At 42.1% G+C, this 14,724-nt stretch overlaps 1 protein-coding gene across 2 annotated transcripts in view; it reads left to right on the top strand.

The window, feature by feature from the left end:
• Nucleotides 1-14,724, top strand: part of GPR139 (G protein-coupled receptor 139) — a 45,652-nt gene extending 30,928 nt beyond the window's left edge. The window contains exon 2 of one of the 2 annotated variants that reach the window (NM_001002911.4): nucleotides 10,294-14,724. In NM_001002911.4, coding sequence (NP_001002911.1) covers nucleotides 10,294-11,228 — 935 coding nt within the window. In that variant the 3' untranslated portion in view covers nucleotides 11,229-14,724. The remainder of the gene's footprint in view (nucleotides 1-10,293) is intronic. The other variant, NM_001318483.1, reaches the window with a different exon arrangement.

The raw sequence follows: 14,724 nt of genomic DNA, 5'->3' as shown, positions 1-14,724 counted from the left end.
CAACATGTGTTCCATCTTGGCAGACATTACCAATCCATCAAAGCACCACTAAGCCCAGGCATGGTGTTAGAATACTTTTCAACATGGCACCCAGACAGCCATTACCAATAGACTGAAGATGAAACATGATCCCTTATAAAGGGAGATACAAAGAAACAGAAAATGCTGATTCTAGCTTTGAAAAGGATCCATTCAAGTGCTAAAATGTAGTTTAAAAAAAGAAAAAGAAAAACACCAAAAAGAGGTCTTCACAAGAAAAATAATAAAGAGGAGATGATAGTGAAGCTACAAAGAAAATTAAAGAGCTATCAAAATGGGAACTAAAATTTTAAGAGAACAAAGGCTATTTCAGAGGATGCAAGAGACAACTGAATCATCATGCAATAATGGGTTTTAAGGGTTTGATTCTACACATAATGACCAATGTTATTCTCCACCAAGCAGAGAAACAAAGTTGAGGGTAAGGTTTGGAATGCAGCTGCAACTAGAGGGCTTAGGGTAGAGGCAATGAAGAATTTCCTGATAGGTTAACAGGGTTGTTAGTGCCTGGAATGTGCCATGGGGAGAAGCTAGAATCTTTGCTGGGATTCCTTGAGAGCTTGACTCTCTCCTACTCATCTTTGCTTCTAGTGCAGATTCCCGCCTCTAGGAGATGCTCAGTAATTGTCTGCTGAACTGAACTAGCCAAATGTTAAAAAGTAACGATAGCTAATGTTTTCTGAGTGCTTACTATGTACCAGGAACTGTGCCTATTGTGCCTATATTATTTCATATATCCTCATAATATCCTATGTGGGTACTATTTATTACGATGCCCATTTCACAGATGTAAGAACTGAGGCTCAGAGACATCAGCTCACTTGTTCACCATCACACAGTTGGTAAATGGCTGTCTTGGGATTTGAACCTGGACTGGCTGCCTCCAGACAGCGTACTCTTAGCCACTATGCTCCCAACTAGGATAGGTTCTTAGGTACCCAAATATTTTGGGTAAGAGTCAGCCAGCAAAAAAATAAAAATAGCCCTTTGGGGAACCAGAAAGCCATCCTCCCAAGGGGTTGTCTTTCCCATGGTAGGAGGGTACCACTGCCTAACCTCCACCTGGCTAGTCTACAACCAGCTTCGTGCCTCTACTAACCAACTGCAGGAAGAAAGCTCCACATTCCCAGGTTTCTGCCTTGGGGCAAGAGGAACAACAGAAAACAAGGATGGCCACTGGCCACCTGTCAGTGCCTGATACTGGAAACATATGGTGGGACAGCAGCCCTGGGGAACTTTTTCCTGCTTCTCTCCTAGGAGACCACTCAACACCGAACCTCCTGGAGACCTCCCAGCACCTTCTGCAGAAGCTAAAAGACTGACCACTGAGTCTTGTCAGCATCATCTTTTTATTTACCCTTCCTCCATCCCAGGGTCCAGAGTGGGGCAGGTAACAGTGAGGGAGGTGGCAGCCACCAGAGGCAGTGCCCCATCATACAATTCGGTCTCTACCCCTCAGCTGATCTAAACAACGGCATTGCTGACTTCTTATGTAGGAGTCTTAGAAATTGATCTTCCTAAAAATCCATCCTTGGAGCACCTCCCAGAAGCAGGTAAAATAACACCGCTGCAATTGTCCACAATGCCAGGAGTCTGCATAACATAAGCGCTGACTTTTCTGATGCAAAAGATGGCAACTTTGTCAGAGAGAGATGCTTTTCTTTTCTCCTTCCCTCTCCTCTCCTCTCCTCTCCTCTCCTCTCCTCTCCTCTCCTCTCCTCTCCTCCCCTCCCCTCCCCTCCCCTCCCCTCCCCTCCCCTCCCCTCCCCTCTCGTCTCCTCTCCTCTCCTCTCCTTTCCTTTCCTTTCCTTTCTGGGTCAGAGTCTCACTCTGTCGCCCAGGCTGGAGTGCAGTGGAACCAGCTCAGCTCACTGCAACCTCTGCCTCCCTGGTTCAAGCAAAGGGAGAGATGCTTTTAAGTCACAGGGGATTGTGACTGAAAGGGGTAAGTGGCTTCTTTTTTCAGAAATTTAGGATGCAGAGAACTAGGATTTGTAGAAGGTGACTCCAGGAATCTAATGATCCCAAATAGCAATTCTCTTTCCTATTCTTAAGACCCCTGTGGACTGAGCAACTGTGCTCAAGAGTGGCCTGCTCTTCTTCACATAACTGCCATTGCAATCAAAAAAGTTCTTCTTGACATCTAACCTAAATCCTTTTGTAGCCTCCAACGTGAGCTCTTTTCCATCTTACAAATTCTCTTAGCTGCCTTTAGGAGGGAGGGAGAGAGGGAGTGAGAATACGAGAGAAGTGGAAGAAAGGGAAAGACGGAAGAAAAGTGTGTTACCCTTTAAACCAGGATTTCTACTTTTGGGAATTTATCCAAAAGAAATGCACAAAAATGCTTTATGAACTTGAAGCTTGTAGTAACAAAAATAGTCATAATAAGTAACGTCCAGCAATAGGTGAATATTTCATGAATATCATTGACATATGGAAAAATCTATTATTCATGTCTAAGTGAAAAAAATCAAGTTGCACAACAATATTATTGTATAATCTCGTTTTGTGGGGATAATTATTATTACTAGTTGTACTATTATTGTGGGCATATAAGCATCCTGGAGATATAAACACCAAGTGGCCAAGAAACCTCTGGTTATCTATTGCAGCATAGCAAACCCCAAAACTTAGAGGCTAGGAGCAACAATTTACGATTATTTGTCACGGTTCCTGGGCTGACTGGGCTCTGCTGGGTGGTTCTTGCTTCTGGTCTCTCATGCATTTGCAGCCAGTGAGCAGTGGGACTACACCCACTTGGGAGCTTTATTGAGCTGGATATCCACGATGGCTCATTCCCACGGGTGACAGTGGATGCTGGATATTGGCCATGAGCTTCACTGAGGCTTTCAACCAGAGGCCCTACACATGGCCTAAGTGGCATGTGCCTCTTACAGAAAGGCAACTGGGTTCCAAGAAGGAGCATACCAAGAGCATGTGTTCAAAAGACCCACTTATGACCTAACCTTAGAAGTCATGCAGTATCAGTCCTGCCATAATGTATTGGTCAAAAGTAAATTACAGGGCCAGCTCCAACTCAAGGCATGGAGACTACCTAGAGGCATGTGTACCAGGGGGCATAGTACACAAGGGTTCACCTATAAGGCTAGCTGACACATTATCCATGGAAGACGGGGTTTTGACAGACTTTCCCCTTCTAATTTCTAATGTAGTCATTAAATGTATAAACTCCCCTGAGTTTATACATTTAACAGTTTGGTTTATTGTCCTAGCTCACTACCTAGCTGTGTGATCTCAAACAAGTTACTTAACCTCTCTGAACCTCAGGGCTTTTAAATCGTGGTACCCACTACACAGGGTAGTTGTGAAGATTAAGTGAGATATTGTGTGTAAGATGCTTAGAAGTGCCCTGAGCACAGTGGATACACAATAAAAGTAGACAAATTCTATTACTATTATTATTAGACACTGATATAATGTTTAATTTTTGACAAGTGTGTATTACTTTTGTAATTGAAAAAACAGTTTTTAAAGACAAGAAAAAGGCAATGTAGCAGAACTAAAAGATATAAACTCAGAACTCCCAGTCCAGCTGCTTCTTCCAAGGAACCTGCAGAGACCCCTTAGTCATCACAGACACAGAAAATACCTCTAGAAGACCTTGACCCTTTCTCTCTGGGCCAGCAGACGATTCAGTGGTGTGGTCTGACAACAAAACCTGTGTTGTTCTCTCAGCCACTTCCCAAAATCCTCCCAAGCTTGAGCACAGTAAGCTGCAAAATACGGGAAATGAATTCCCTCAAGAATATAACCAAGAAGCTTTGCAGTCACAAAACATGGGCTTTTTATTATCCAGGAACTTAAACCTGTCTGACGACACCATTGACAGAAAGGATTTGCTTTTCAGAAGCATTGACATTTTGGTGGTGAAGTTCGGCGGGGCTTGCTTGGATGGGATTGGTTGGGTTTCCTCAACAATGGAATCCTTGGATCAGTTTGACAGGAAAGCTCAGAAATGGAATTTCAGGCAGTGAGAACTTCGGTTTCTTCATTTACTCACCCCTTATAAATACACACAGACCCTGTCAACATCACTCTTTCCCTTTGGGGAAAATGTGCCACTGTGGAAATGAAAGAAATTTTAAATATGGGGAGTTATAGCAAATGTCAAGCTTTTAAGAGTTGAAGGCTCTACCTTTTCATTTCTTTTTCAGAAAATCAATACACAGGAACCGCACCATTCCCCTCTGGGTCTCCTCAGCTCACACTTCTTTCTCCCACCCCACCCCAGGGATCTCCTACATGTTCCTGATGTTGCCTGGGGGAAAATCTACCTGTACAAAAGAAATGGGAAACTCAGTGTCTGCGGGTTAGTTTCTCAAGAGAGGCAATCACTAGAAACTTAAGGAAATGTCAAATATGAATACCTAGCAATTTCACTTGGAGTTGATGACTTGCCTGACTTAAAGCATTAATTAGATGGGGTTGGAATACTTTTAAAGAGCTTCGATATGGAGAATTTTTAGCACCGCACTTCAAACAGGGTTCAGCTGGGGAGGAAGAAAAAGTGGGAGAGTCACTCTCTATAGAATACACACACACACACACACACACACACACACACACACACACATATATATATTATCCAGGAACTTAAACCTGTATGTATGTGTGTGTGTGTATATATATAGCACTTTTTCTGGGGACATCCCACCATTTATACATCCTGCCTCCTTGGGAAGCAGGGATGTGAAAGGGAAAGTGGGCATTGTTTAATGGATGGGGGGGAAAAAGAGGTTGTGGCTGAGCATGATGGCTCACGCCTGTAATCCCAGCACTTTGGGAGGCTGAGGCTGGTGGATCACTTGAGGTCAGGAGTTTGAGACCAGCCTGGCCAACATGGTGAAACCCCATCTCTACTTAAAAAAAAAAAAATTAGCTGGGTGTGGTGGCACGTGCCTCTAATCCCAGCTACTCAGGAGGCTGAGGCAAGAGAATTGCTTGAACCTGGGAGGTGGAGGTTGCAGTGAGCCGAGATCGCATCATTGCACTCTAGCCTGGCCGACAAGAGCGAAACTCAGTCTCATCAAAAAGGAAAAAAGAGGTTGCAAGAAAATATGGCACTTTTCTAAGTCAGGGGCAACCCAAGGAACAGGAAACGCATTCTTTATGCTGAGAACCCTTTTCTATGACCGAAAATAAACAAAGCAGAATCTATTAAGACAGAAAGTCAGACAGAGCTGGGGTCACCATTTTCATTTTTCTCTGGCTCCCTTACTTGTTCTGTTTGTGACTTTGAGCAAATTATCTAAAAATCCAAGCCTTGGTTTCCTCATGTGTAAAATGGGAAATCGTTCTCATGTCTCTCTGTTCTATGAACATAAGAAGCTGATTCCCACCACAAGGCTGTTGCACTTGCCAATCCCACTGCCTAGAATCCTTTTCCCACAAATACTTGCGACAGATCCCTAGATCCCTTCTTTATTCTCTCTCTTTTTTTTTTTTTTTTCTGAGACAGAGTCTTACTCTGTAATCTGGGCTGGAGTGCAGTGGTACGATCTCGGCTCACTGTAACTTCCACCTCCCGAGTTCAAGTGATTCTCCTGCCTCAGCCTCCCGAGTAGCTGCGATTATAGGCACCCACCACCACGCCTGGCTAATTTTTGTATTTTTAGTAGAGGTGGGGTTTCACCATGTTGGCCAGGCTGGTCTGGAACTCCTGACCTCAAGCGATCCACCACCCTCAGCCTCCTAAAGTGCTGGGATTACAGGCGTGAGCCACAGTGCCTGGCCTCCCTTCTCTTCATCCTTGATTGGACCGAAATATCGCTTTTAATCTAAAAGTTACCACCCCATAAACTTGTCTCATCCCTTGGTGTTATTCTTCCTAGTATCACATCTGACATTCTGTTGTGCATTTGCGTGTCTGTTTATTTATTGTCTGTCTCCCTCATTATACTATAAACTCCATGGCAAAAGGGAACCTGTCCACTTTGTTAATACCTGTATCTCCAAAGCCTCATCCAATGCCTGGCATAGTCAATGCCCAGTTAATATTTGCTGCATGAATGGACTCTCAGTCAATAGCTACCATCCATTCCACACTTCTCACGTGCCAGACACTGTTTAAACCACTTTATTAAAATTATCTCACTTAACCCTCAGAACAACCCTATGAGGTAGATAGTCTTATTAACCACATGATATGGTTTCACTGTGTTCCCACCCAAATCTCATCTTGAAATGTAGCTCCCATAATCCCCATGTATCATAGGAGGGACCCAGTGGGAGGTAGTTGAATCATGGGGCCGTGTCTTTGCCATGCTGTTCTCATGATAGTGAATAAGTCTCATGAGATCTGATGGTTTTATAAAGGGGAGTTCCCCTGCACAAGCTCTTGCTGGCCACCATGTAAGACGTGACTTTGCTCCTCATTAGCCTTTTGCCATGATTGTGACGCCTCCCCAGCCAGGTGGAACTGTGAGTCAATTAAACCCCTTTCCTTTGTAAATTACCCAATCTTGGAAACTTCTTTATTGGCAGTGTAAGAAGAGACTATTAACCCCATTTTATAAAGAAGGGAACTGAGGCACAGAAATACTGAATAAACTTGTCTGAAGTCAAGGTGGTAATAACAGCCAGGCAGCCCAGCCCCAGATCCTGCACTCTTAGCAACTGAGCTCCTATACCCTTGATTCAATAGACCTTTAGACCTCAACCTCTTTACAGCTTGGGTTCCATGAAGCTCTGACTATATATGATTAGGTCAGAGGAGCAGGGATTGGAAACCAAGCCTTTAATCAGGGCCCTTCACCAAAGTTTTGTCCTTCTTTCTGTATCTATTCACCAGCAGCTCCTATATACTGTGTTCTCATTTATCTCTTTAATACTTAGCCACTTATATGATGTTTCTCTACTCTCTGAGTACAGACTTTATGTGTATCCACAAGAGTACCCAATGTATATCCACCTTAGGCCTATGCACACGTATTTGACCACAGAAAGTAGATGCTAAATACTTTTTGGAAAAATTTCTGGATGAATAAAACATTTTGAAATGCTTTTCAACAGAACACAGCAAGGCTGTTTAATAAAAGAGAGCTATAAAATGCAAGGATGCTTACAAAGCAAGCAGAACTCAATATAAGTATTCTTTGTCTTAATAAACCCAACTCTTCATACTTCTCCCCCTCAGAACATTTGCACATGCTGTTTCCTTTGCTTGAAACACTTTCTCCTTCCAACTTTTCTGCCTTTTAACCTCTTCCTGGTCTTCCAAATCTCAGTAAAGATTTTTCTGATTCCTACTCCAAAACATTCCTTCATAGCGTTCACTACAGCTTGCAGTTAATGCATTTTCTTCCGTGGCTCTTCAGCTGATGTTTTTCTTGACTAACAGAATCTAAGCTCCATGCAGGCTAAACAGACCATGTCTATTTTGTTCACCATCCCCTTCAAGGGCACAGCTCAGAATAGGTACATAATGCATGAATGCATTAATGCAGTTTTGAAATACCAAGTTTACAAATATAAAGACCTTTAGTGGGTCTCTTTTCTGAAGCAGTGACTTAAATAGGACATACTCACCATTTTTCTCTACATTGTGTGCAGTATAGCATATCTTCATGGTACCCCCAGCCCACTGGGAATAAGTACCAATATTGCAGACTGGTTTTGAGCATGGATGTTGGTCCTGGGATTGAATCCTGGCTAATTAATATAATCAGTATCTTAACTCTCCACCACTCCAAAATGTTATTTCAAAGTGATTTGGACAAGAACAAGAACAGTATAGACTTTAAAAAAAAACTGGTAATACTGAGAGGATATGGAGCAACTGGAATTCTCATATTCTGCTATTGGGAATCTAAATTAGTAAAATTTTACAAAGCAATTCAGCAGTGTCTGTTAAAGATGAGGATGCACATACTCTAAAACATAATAAATACACTTCCATGTATACATTACCCCAGAGAAATTTTCATATATAAGTACTTCTCATGGAGAGTCATGTCAAGATATTAACTTTGGTTTATAACAGCAAAATCCTGGAACCAATTTAAATGAATGAACATATTTAATATAATAAATTATAAATAAATAAATAAATCAGTAAGTTCCTACAGCAAAATGCTATGTAGTCATTCAATTGAGTGAACTAGATCTTCACGTAGCAACAAAACTGGGCCTCAAAAATACAATGTTGAATGACAAAAGCAGTATATAGAATGGCAGTTTCAGTATAAAAGAAAGCAAAAGGCTGGGCACAGTGATGTGCACCTGTAGTCCCAGCTACTTAGGAGGCTAAGGTGCAAGGGTCACTTGAGCCCTGGAGTTCAAAGATGTAAAGCACCATGATTGCATCTGTGAATAGCCACTGCACTCCAGCCTGGGCAACATAGCAAGACCGGGTCTCTGAAAAAGAAAGAAAGAAAGAATATGCAGACATGGCACTGGACACTGCACACAGCCTGCAGCATGGTGGTTGCCTCTAGAGAAAGAAGATGGAAAAGAATGAGAACAGAGCTTCTTCAGAGGAGACTTCAACTGTATCTATAGTGTCATTTCTTTCTTTAAAGAGAGCTGAAGTAAATATGGCAAAATGTTAAAATGTATTAAATCTGAGTGATGAGCACACCAGGTTTTGCAGGTGTGTTTATTATAAGAATTTTTACATGTGAACTATTGTATGACATTTTAAATGGCTACCAAGAAAGGAAGAGAGACAGAGAGAGACTGAGAGAGAGATCTGGATTCTAGCTCTGCCACTGGACCTCAGACAAGGAATGTAAGCTTTCTGAGAACTTAGGTTGCAAAATAGCATTATCGGTGTTCAAATTTCAGGGTTGACTGTGAGAATGAATGAAAATAAATGTGTAGAATGACTTCTAGATATTATCCATTGGAATATCATTTCAGAGTGAGTCCCTAATGACTTTCTAAATATGCTTAATTCAGGGAGACTTTTTTTAAAAAAAAAACTGATCAGAAATTATATAGATGTATTTTCAAGACAAATCTGACCCCACAAAAAATAAAACATTGCTGCTGTTTATGCAAAAACTATGTATTAGGTTGGTGCAAAAGTAATTGCAGTTTTTGCCAATTACTTTTGCACCAACCTAATGCAGGCACACTATATGGACATATATAAGCATAGATTATTTATTAACTGTAATTTCCCTGAGGGAGGGGAACTTTGATGATTGGAGAATAAGAGTAGAAGGAAAATGTACTTTTCCTTGCTATTATTTTTGATTATGTAGCATGTACGTAGATTACCTATTCCAAAAACAAATGTAATTTACTTTTAAATTAATCTGAAGGTCATGATCTTCTCTGCACCTCCAATTTTAAATCTACTTAAAAAGGAAAGGTCCTAAAATCCAAGCTCTGAAGAGGTTCTTAAGAGGTTATATAGTCCCGTCTCTTTCCTGAACACATATAGCAGGAAATGCCACCTCAGCCCCATATTCTTCATGCAACTGAACAAAAGAAAAAGCATGAGATTTGGGATCAGGGGATCCTATCACCATGAATTATTAACTGTGTAGCTCTAAGCAAGTTGCTTAAGCTCTCAGAGCCCCAGTTTCATTTCTAAGATGAGGAGAATGGCAACACCAACTCTCATGGTTGTGTGAGGCTCTCAGAGCCCCAGCTTCATTCCTAAGATGAGGATAATGGCAGCATCGCCTCTCACGGTTGTGTGAGGAGAATGGCGGCACCACCTCTCACGGTTGTGTGAAGAGAATGGCGGCATCACCTCTCATGGTTGTGTGAGGAGAATGGCAACACCACCTTCCATGGTTGTGTGAGGAGAATGGCAACACCACCTCCCACGGTTGTGTGAGGCTCTCAGAGCCCCAGCTTCATTCCTAAGATGAGGATAATGGCAGCATCGCCTCTCACGGTTGTGTGAGGAGAATGGTGGCACCACCTCTCATTGTTGTGTGAGGAGAATGGCGGCAACACCACTCATGGTTGTGTGAGGAGAATGGCGGCACCACCTCTCATGGCTGTGTGAGGCTCTCAGAGCCCCAGTTTCACTTCTAAGATGAGGAGAATGGAGGCACCACCTCTCATGGTTGTGTTAGAATATAAGCATAACTTTAAAATAGTATCCACTAATTGTATGAGGTGCTATTTGTAATGCTGAGGTTGTCCCTCAAAAGCATTGATTCAATCATTTTCACTTCCATGGGAGTGCAAAATAAACATATGCCTAGGGCCCCCATAGGAGCCAACGAAGTCATCTTTGCTTCAGAGCTAAACCAGTTTTTCTTCTCTCCACAGCAAATATCTTGACAGTGATCATCCTCTCCCAGCTGGTGGCAAGAAGACAGAAGTCCTCCTACAACTATCTCTTGGCACTCGCTGCTGCCGACATCTTGGTCCTCTTTTTCATAGTGTTTGTGGACTTCCTGTTGGAAGATTTCATCTTGAACATGCAGATGCCTCAGGTCCCCGACAAGATCATAGAAGTGCTGGAATTCTCATCCATCCACACCTCCATATGGATTACTGTACCGTTAACCATTGACAGGTATATCGCTGTCTGCCACCCGCTCAAGTACCACACGGTCTCATACCCAGCCCGCACCCGGAAAGTCATTGTAAGTGTTTACATCACCTGCTTCCTGACCAGCATCCCCTATTACTGGTGGCCCAACATCTGGACTGAAGACTACATCAGCACCTCTGTGCATCACGTCCTCATCTGGATCCACTGCTTCACCGTCTACCTGGTGCCCTGCTCCATCTTCTTCATCTTGAACTCAATCATTGTGTACAAGCTCAGGAGGAAGAGCAATTTTCGTCTCCGTGGCTACTCCACGGGGAAGACCACCGCCATCTTGTTCACCATTACCTCCATCTTTGCCACACTTTGGGCCCCCCGCATCATCATGATTCTTTACCACCTCTATGGGGCGCCCATCCAGAACCGCTGGCTGGTACACATCATGTCCGACATTGCCAACATGCTAGCCCTTCTGAACACAGCCATCAACTTCTTCCTCTACTGCTTCATCAGCAAGCGGTTCCGCACCATGGCAGCCGCCACGCTCAAGGCTTTCTTCAAGTGCCAGAAGCAACCTGTACAGTTCTACACCAATCATAACTTTTCCATAACAAGTAGCCCCTGGATCTCGCCGGCAAACTCACACTGCATCAAGATGCTGGTGTACCAGTATGACAAAAATGGAAAACCTATAAAAGTATCCCCGTGATTCCATAGGTGTGGCAACTACTGCCTCTGTCTAATCCATTTCCAGATGGGAAGGTGTCCCATCCTATGGCTGAGCAGCTCTCCTTAAGAGTGCTAATCCGATTTCCTGTCTCCCGCAGACTGGGCAATTCTCAGACTGGTAGATGAGAAGAGATGGAAGAGAAGAAAGGAGAGCATGAAGCTTGTTTTTACTTATGCATTTATTTCCACAGAGTCGTAATGACAGCAAAAGCTCCTACCAGTTTGAAGATGCCATTGGAGCTTGTGTCATCATCCTGTGACCAGTTAGGACACAAAGTAGAGAAGTAGTCTGTGATTTCGCCCTGGTACCATCCACAGTCACTGGGAACCCTTCATTTATGGGACTTACCAAGCCCCAGTAGCACATAGCTGAGCCTGCACTCTTCTTCCGAGAGCTGAGGTCATTCATCACTTCCCTCTGCTGTTCCCAGGAGCTAACAATAATGACTATTTCAGGATTTTTTTCAAGGTGCCCTTTGTCCTAGAGAGGGTTGTGGTCTTGAATTGGCTCTGGCACTCCTAGCTTCAGAATGACACTGTGGGAATAGAAGAGTATTGGATCCCATCCAAACTGTGGCCAGAGCTTCTTCAGGAAATCTCCAAACCCGCATAGCTGTGACCTCAAACCTGGGGTCTAAAAGGCAGTTTTCTATTTATCATTATGTATAGATTTTCTCTATCTCCTCCAAAACAAAGACCCTGCCTGGTGCGCAGGGGGAAAGGAGGAATTCTCGAGCCCAGAAAAACAAAAAAATAAGCCCACACTTGCCATTGTTTCAACCCATCCCTGTGTCAGCTGCATACGATCCCGTTACTCAAAATTGCTTCTTGTTATGGTATCACTCCAGCTTCCTAGAGAAGCCTTTTTACGTGTCAAGTTGCCAACCCTGCCTCCTTGCTTGCTGAGGCCCTCACCAAATTGTTTTATTTGAAGTGACTTCCGAACTGAATTTAATATTCAAGGGTCAGGAACTGCAGCTCTGCGGGTATGAGAGGAGGTGTTCTCAGCTCTGTCTCACAGCCCAGCTGGCGCTGCCATTTCGCCACAAACGCAGACACAAAAGGTGCCCATGCTGACGCCTCGTCTGCCCTTTGACGCACATGGCTCAAAAGGGGGTGCCAGTTCTTGGTAAAGCTATTTAACCCAGATCCTTTGTAAAATGATAAAATATAAGTGTGTTTATTTATTCTACCCTTGCCTGTCCAAGGCAAGAACATTTCTAGGATGTAATGAATAGGGGCATCCCTGGAAATTGCTACTTATGTGTGCAGCACACACACACACATGATTATATTCGTCTTATTTAGTGTTTCTTTTTTCTTCTTTTTTTTTTAACTTCTCCCTCAGATTCCCAGTATTCGAATTCATCCCTGTTTTGGAATAAATTTGCCAAACTGACTTTGAAATTGCATGACATTTTTGGTGACCAAAAAACGGCAGACAGTCCACCTGGAATATTTAGTTCCTCAGGCTGGATTTTTACTGCATTTTGTCCCTAAGTTGGAAGACATGTCTATCTTTTTTAAGGGAATTTGCAATAAATGAATGGGATAAGAAAAGGCCCCATGGCAACACAAACCCTAAACTTCAGCCAATGCTCTCAATACTAACTCAATACAAACTTAGGTCATATTAGTCCTGATGATCCTAATTCTTACCCCTTTTAAAGGATCGCAATAGAATCTCATCAGAGCCAAGGATTAGATTCTAAAGTCAGTGCAAAAGATAAAACCTTACAGAGCCAAAGTTACCTTTGCAAAAGATCCTCAAAAAAGAGCCATGTTGGAGATTATATTCCATTGCTTTCAAAACCTAACACAGCTAAGTTTTTCTCTAGCATTGGAACAAGTTGCTGTTTCTCTGGTTGATGACAAGACAGAATTGGCTCTCATTTAGGGACCATATTGTGTGATTCTAATGTATCTGAGAACATTAGGACCACCCTGGTGCATCAAGATGCTTCCACTCAAAGAAGTTCATGGAAGTCGTCTGACTGAGGGACAGATCTCCCATCTCCCACGCTCCCCAGGGCGTATGCTCATTGAGTGGAATGGTAAGCAGATTCCCTCACCTCCCTTAAATTGCATTTCTCTCTGTCTCTTTTTTGCCAAGCACGTGTAATTGAACATGTGTTCATTAAATGTGTGTGTGATGCAACGCCACTACACCCCCTTATGAATGGACATTGACCAAAGGCTACCTATACTGAATATATATATATATATATATTTATTTATTTATTTTTTAAACATGTAGCTCTGAAAAATGCTAGTTTGAGCTACACATGAATGAGTCAAAGTGCAATATCTACAAAGGTTAAGCAATTCCTTTTTGAGAATGTATATAAGATGGAAAATATGTATGTGACTCTCCATGCTCTCTGCTCCATATTTTTAATTGTGTGTAACAATTAATTGTTGATGTTTAAAAACTGGGTGTGCATTGGGAACATTTTCCTCAGACACTTTAATTTATTACTTCTCGATGATAGAGGCTCTACCACGTGGTATTGTGATCTCTTTTCCTCCGAATATATTTTATATTTTGCTACATGATATTTAAAAGAGGTCCAATTCTTGAAGGCACTGTAGTGAATTGCTGTCTTCTGCTTAAAATGCAAATGAATGCCCATTGGGTTAGGTTGATTCATATCTCTTAAAATTTATTTCAAACTATCTAAGGACTTTTATTATTATTTATAGTAATAATTATGGACATCATGAAATGGGTTTTTTTTAACTTTAAAACTTTAAAAACTTGTAAGCCTTTTCTTTCAGGCCAGTTTTGACAATAAAGCCTTGAACTTTGAAGCCTGTCATGTAAATGGCTGCTGCTGGTGGCACTAAAGCAATTGCCTTATCGTGGGTTTTTGTGGTGCCTCTTTCAAAGACAGTTAACTAGCTTCTCTCTTGCTATATGATTTGTGTCCTTGGTTGGACATTGCAATGATGATACGCACCACCATGCTGTGTCTTTTTATTGAACAACTTGACGGCTGAAATGTCTCATGGGGAAGGAAATGAGGGGAATGACAGACAAACCATAAAAGACAGACCGGAGTGGGCACGAACTTGTGTGTTGCAAACACCCTGCTATTGGAAAAGATCACTTTGCACATTTGGTACCTCCTGGTTCAACATGGGGAGCCTACCCGAAGTGAATAAAAGACTCTAATGTTGGCTATTCCAGTTCAGAGAATGGAATAGAAAGTTACCATAGAAAAAAAGCAAATGTTCATATTTTCTTAATTAGATTATATATTGTGTTTGGACTTGTTTGTATTATAATAAATTCTAATATGGTGCACACTTGGTGTTTGGTATTTGCATCTATGTTCAAGCAATTGCAGTATGCTGATTTTTATTACTATTATTTTTAATTGATAAATCATAATTGTATACATTTATGGGATACAATGTGATGTTTTGATATATGTATACAATGTGGAATAATTAAATCAAGCTAAATTAACACA

The sequence above is a fragment of the Homo sapiens genome, chromosome 16 (genome assembly GCF_000001405.40).
Source record: "Homo sapiens chromosome 16, GRCh38.p14 Primary Assembly".
NCBI classification, from domain to species: domain Eukaryota; kingdom Metazoa; phylum Chordata; class Mammalia; order Primates; family Hominidae; genus Homo; species Homo sapiens.
The sequence above is the reverse complement of the archived record's forward strand: the minus strand, read 5'-3'. Positions and strand labels throughout refer to the sequence as shown.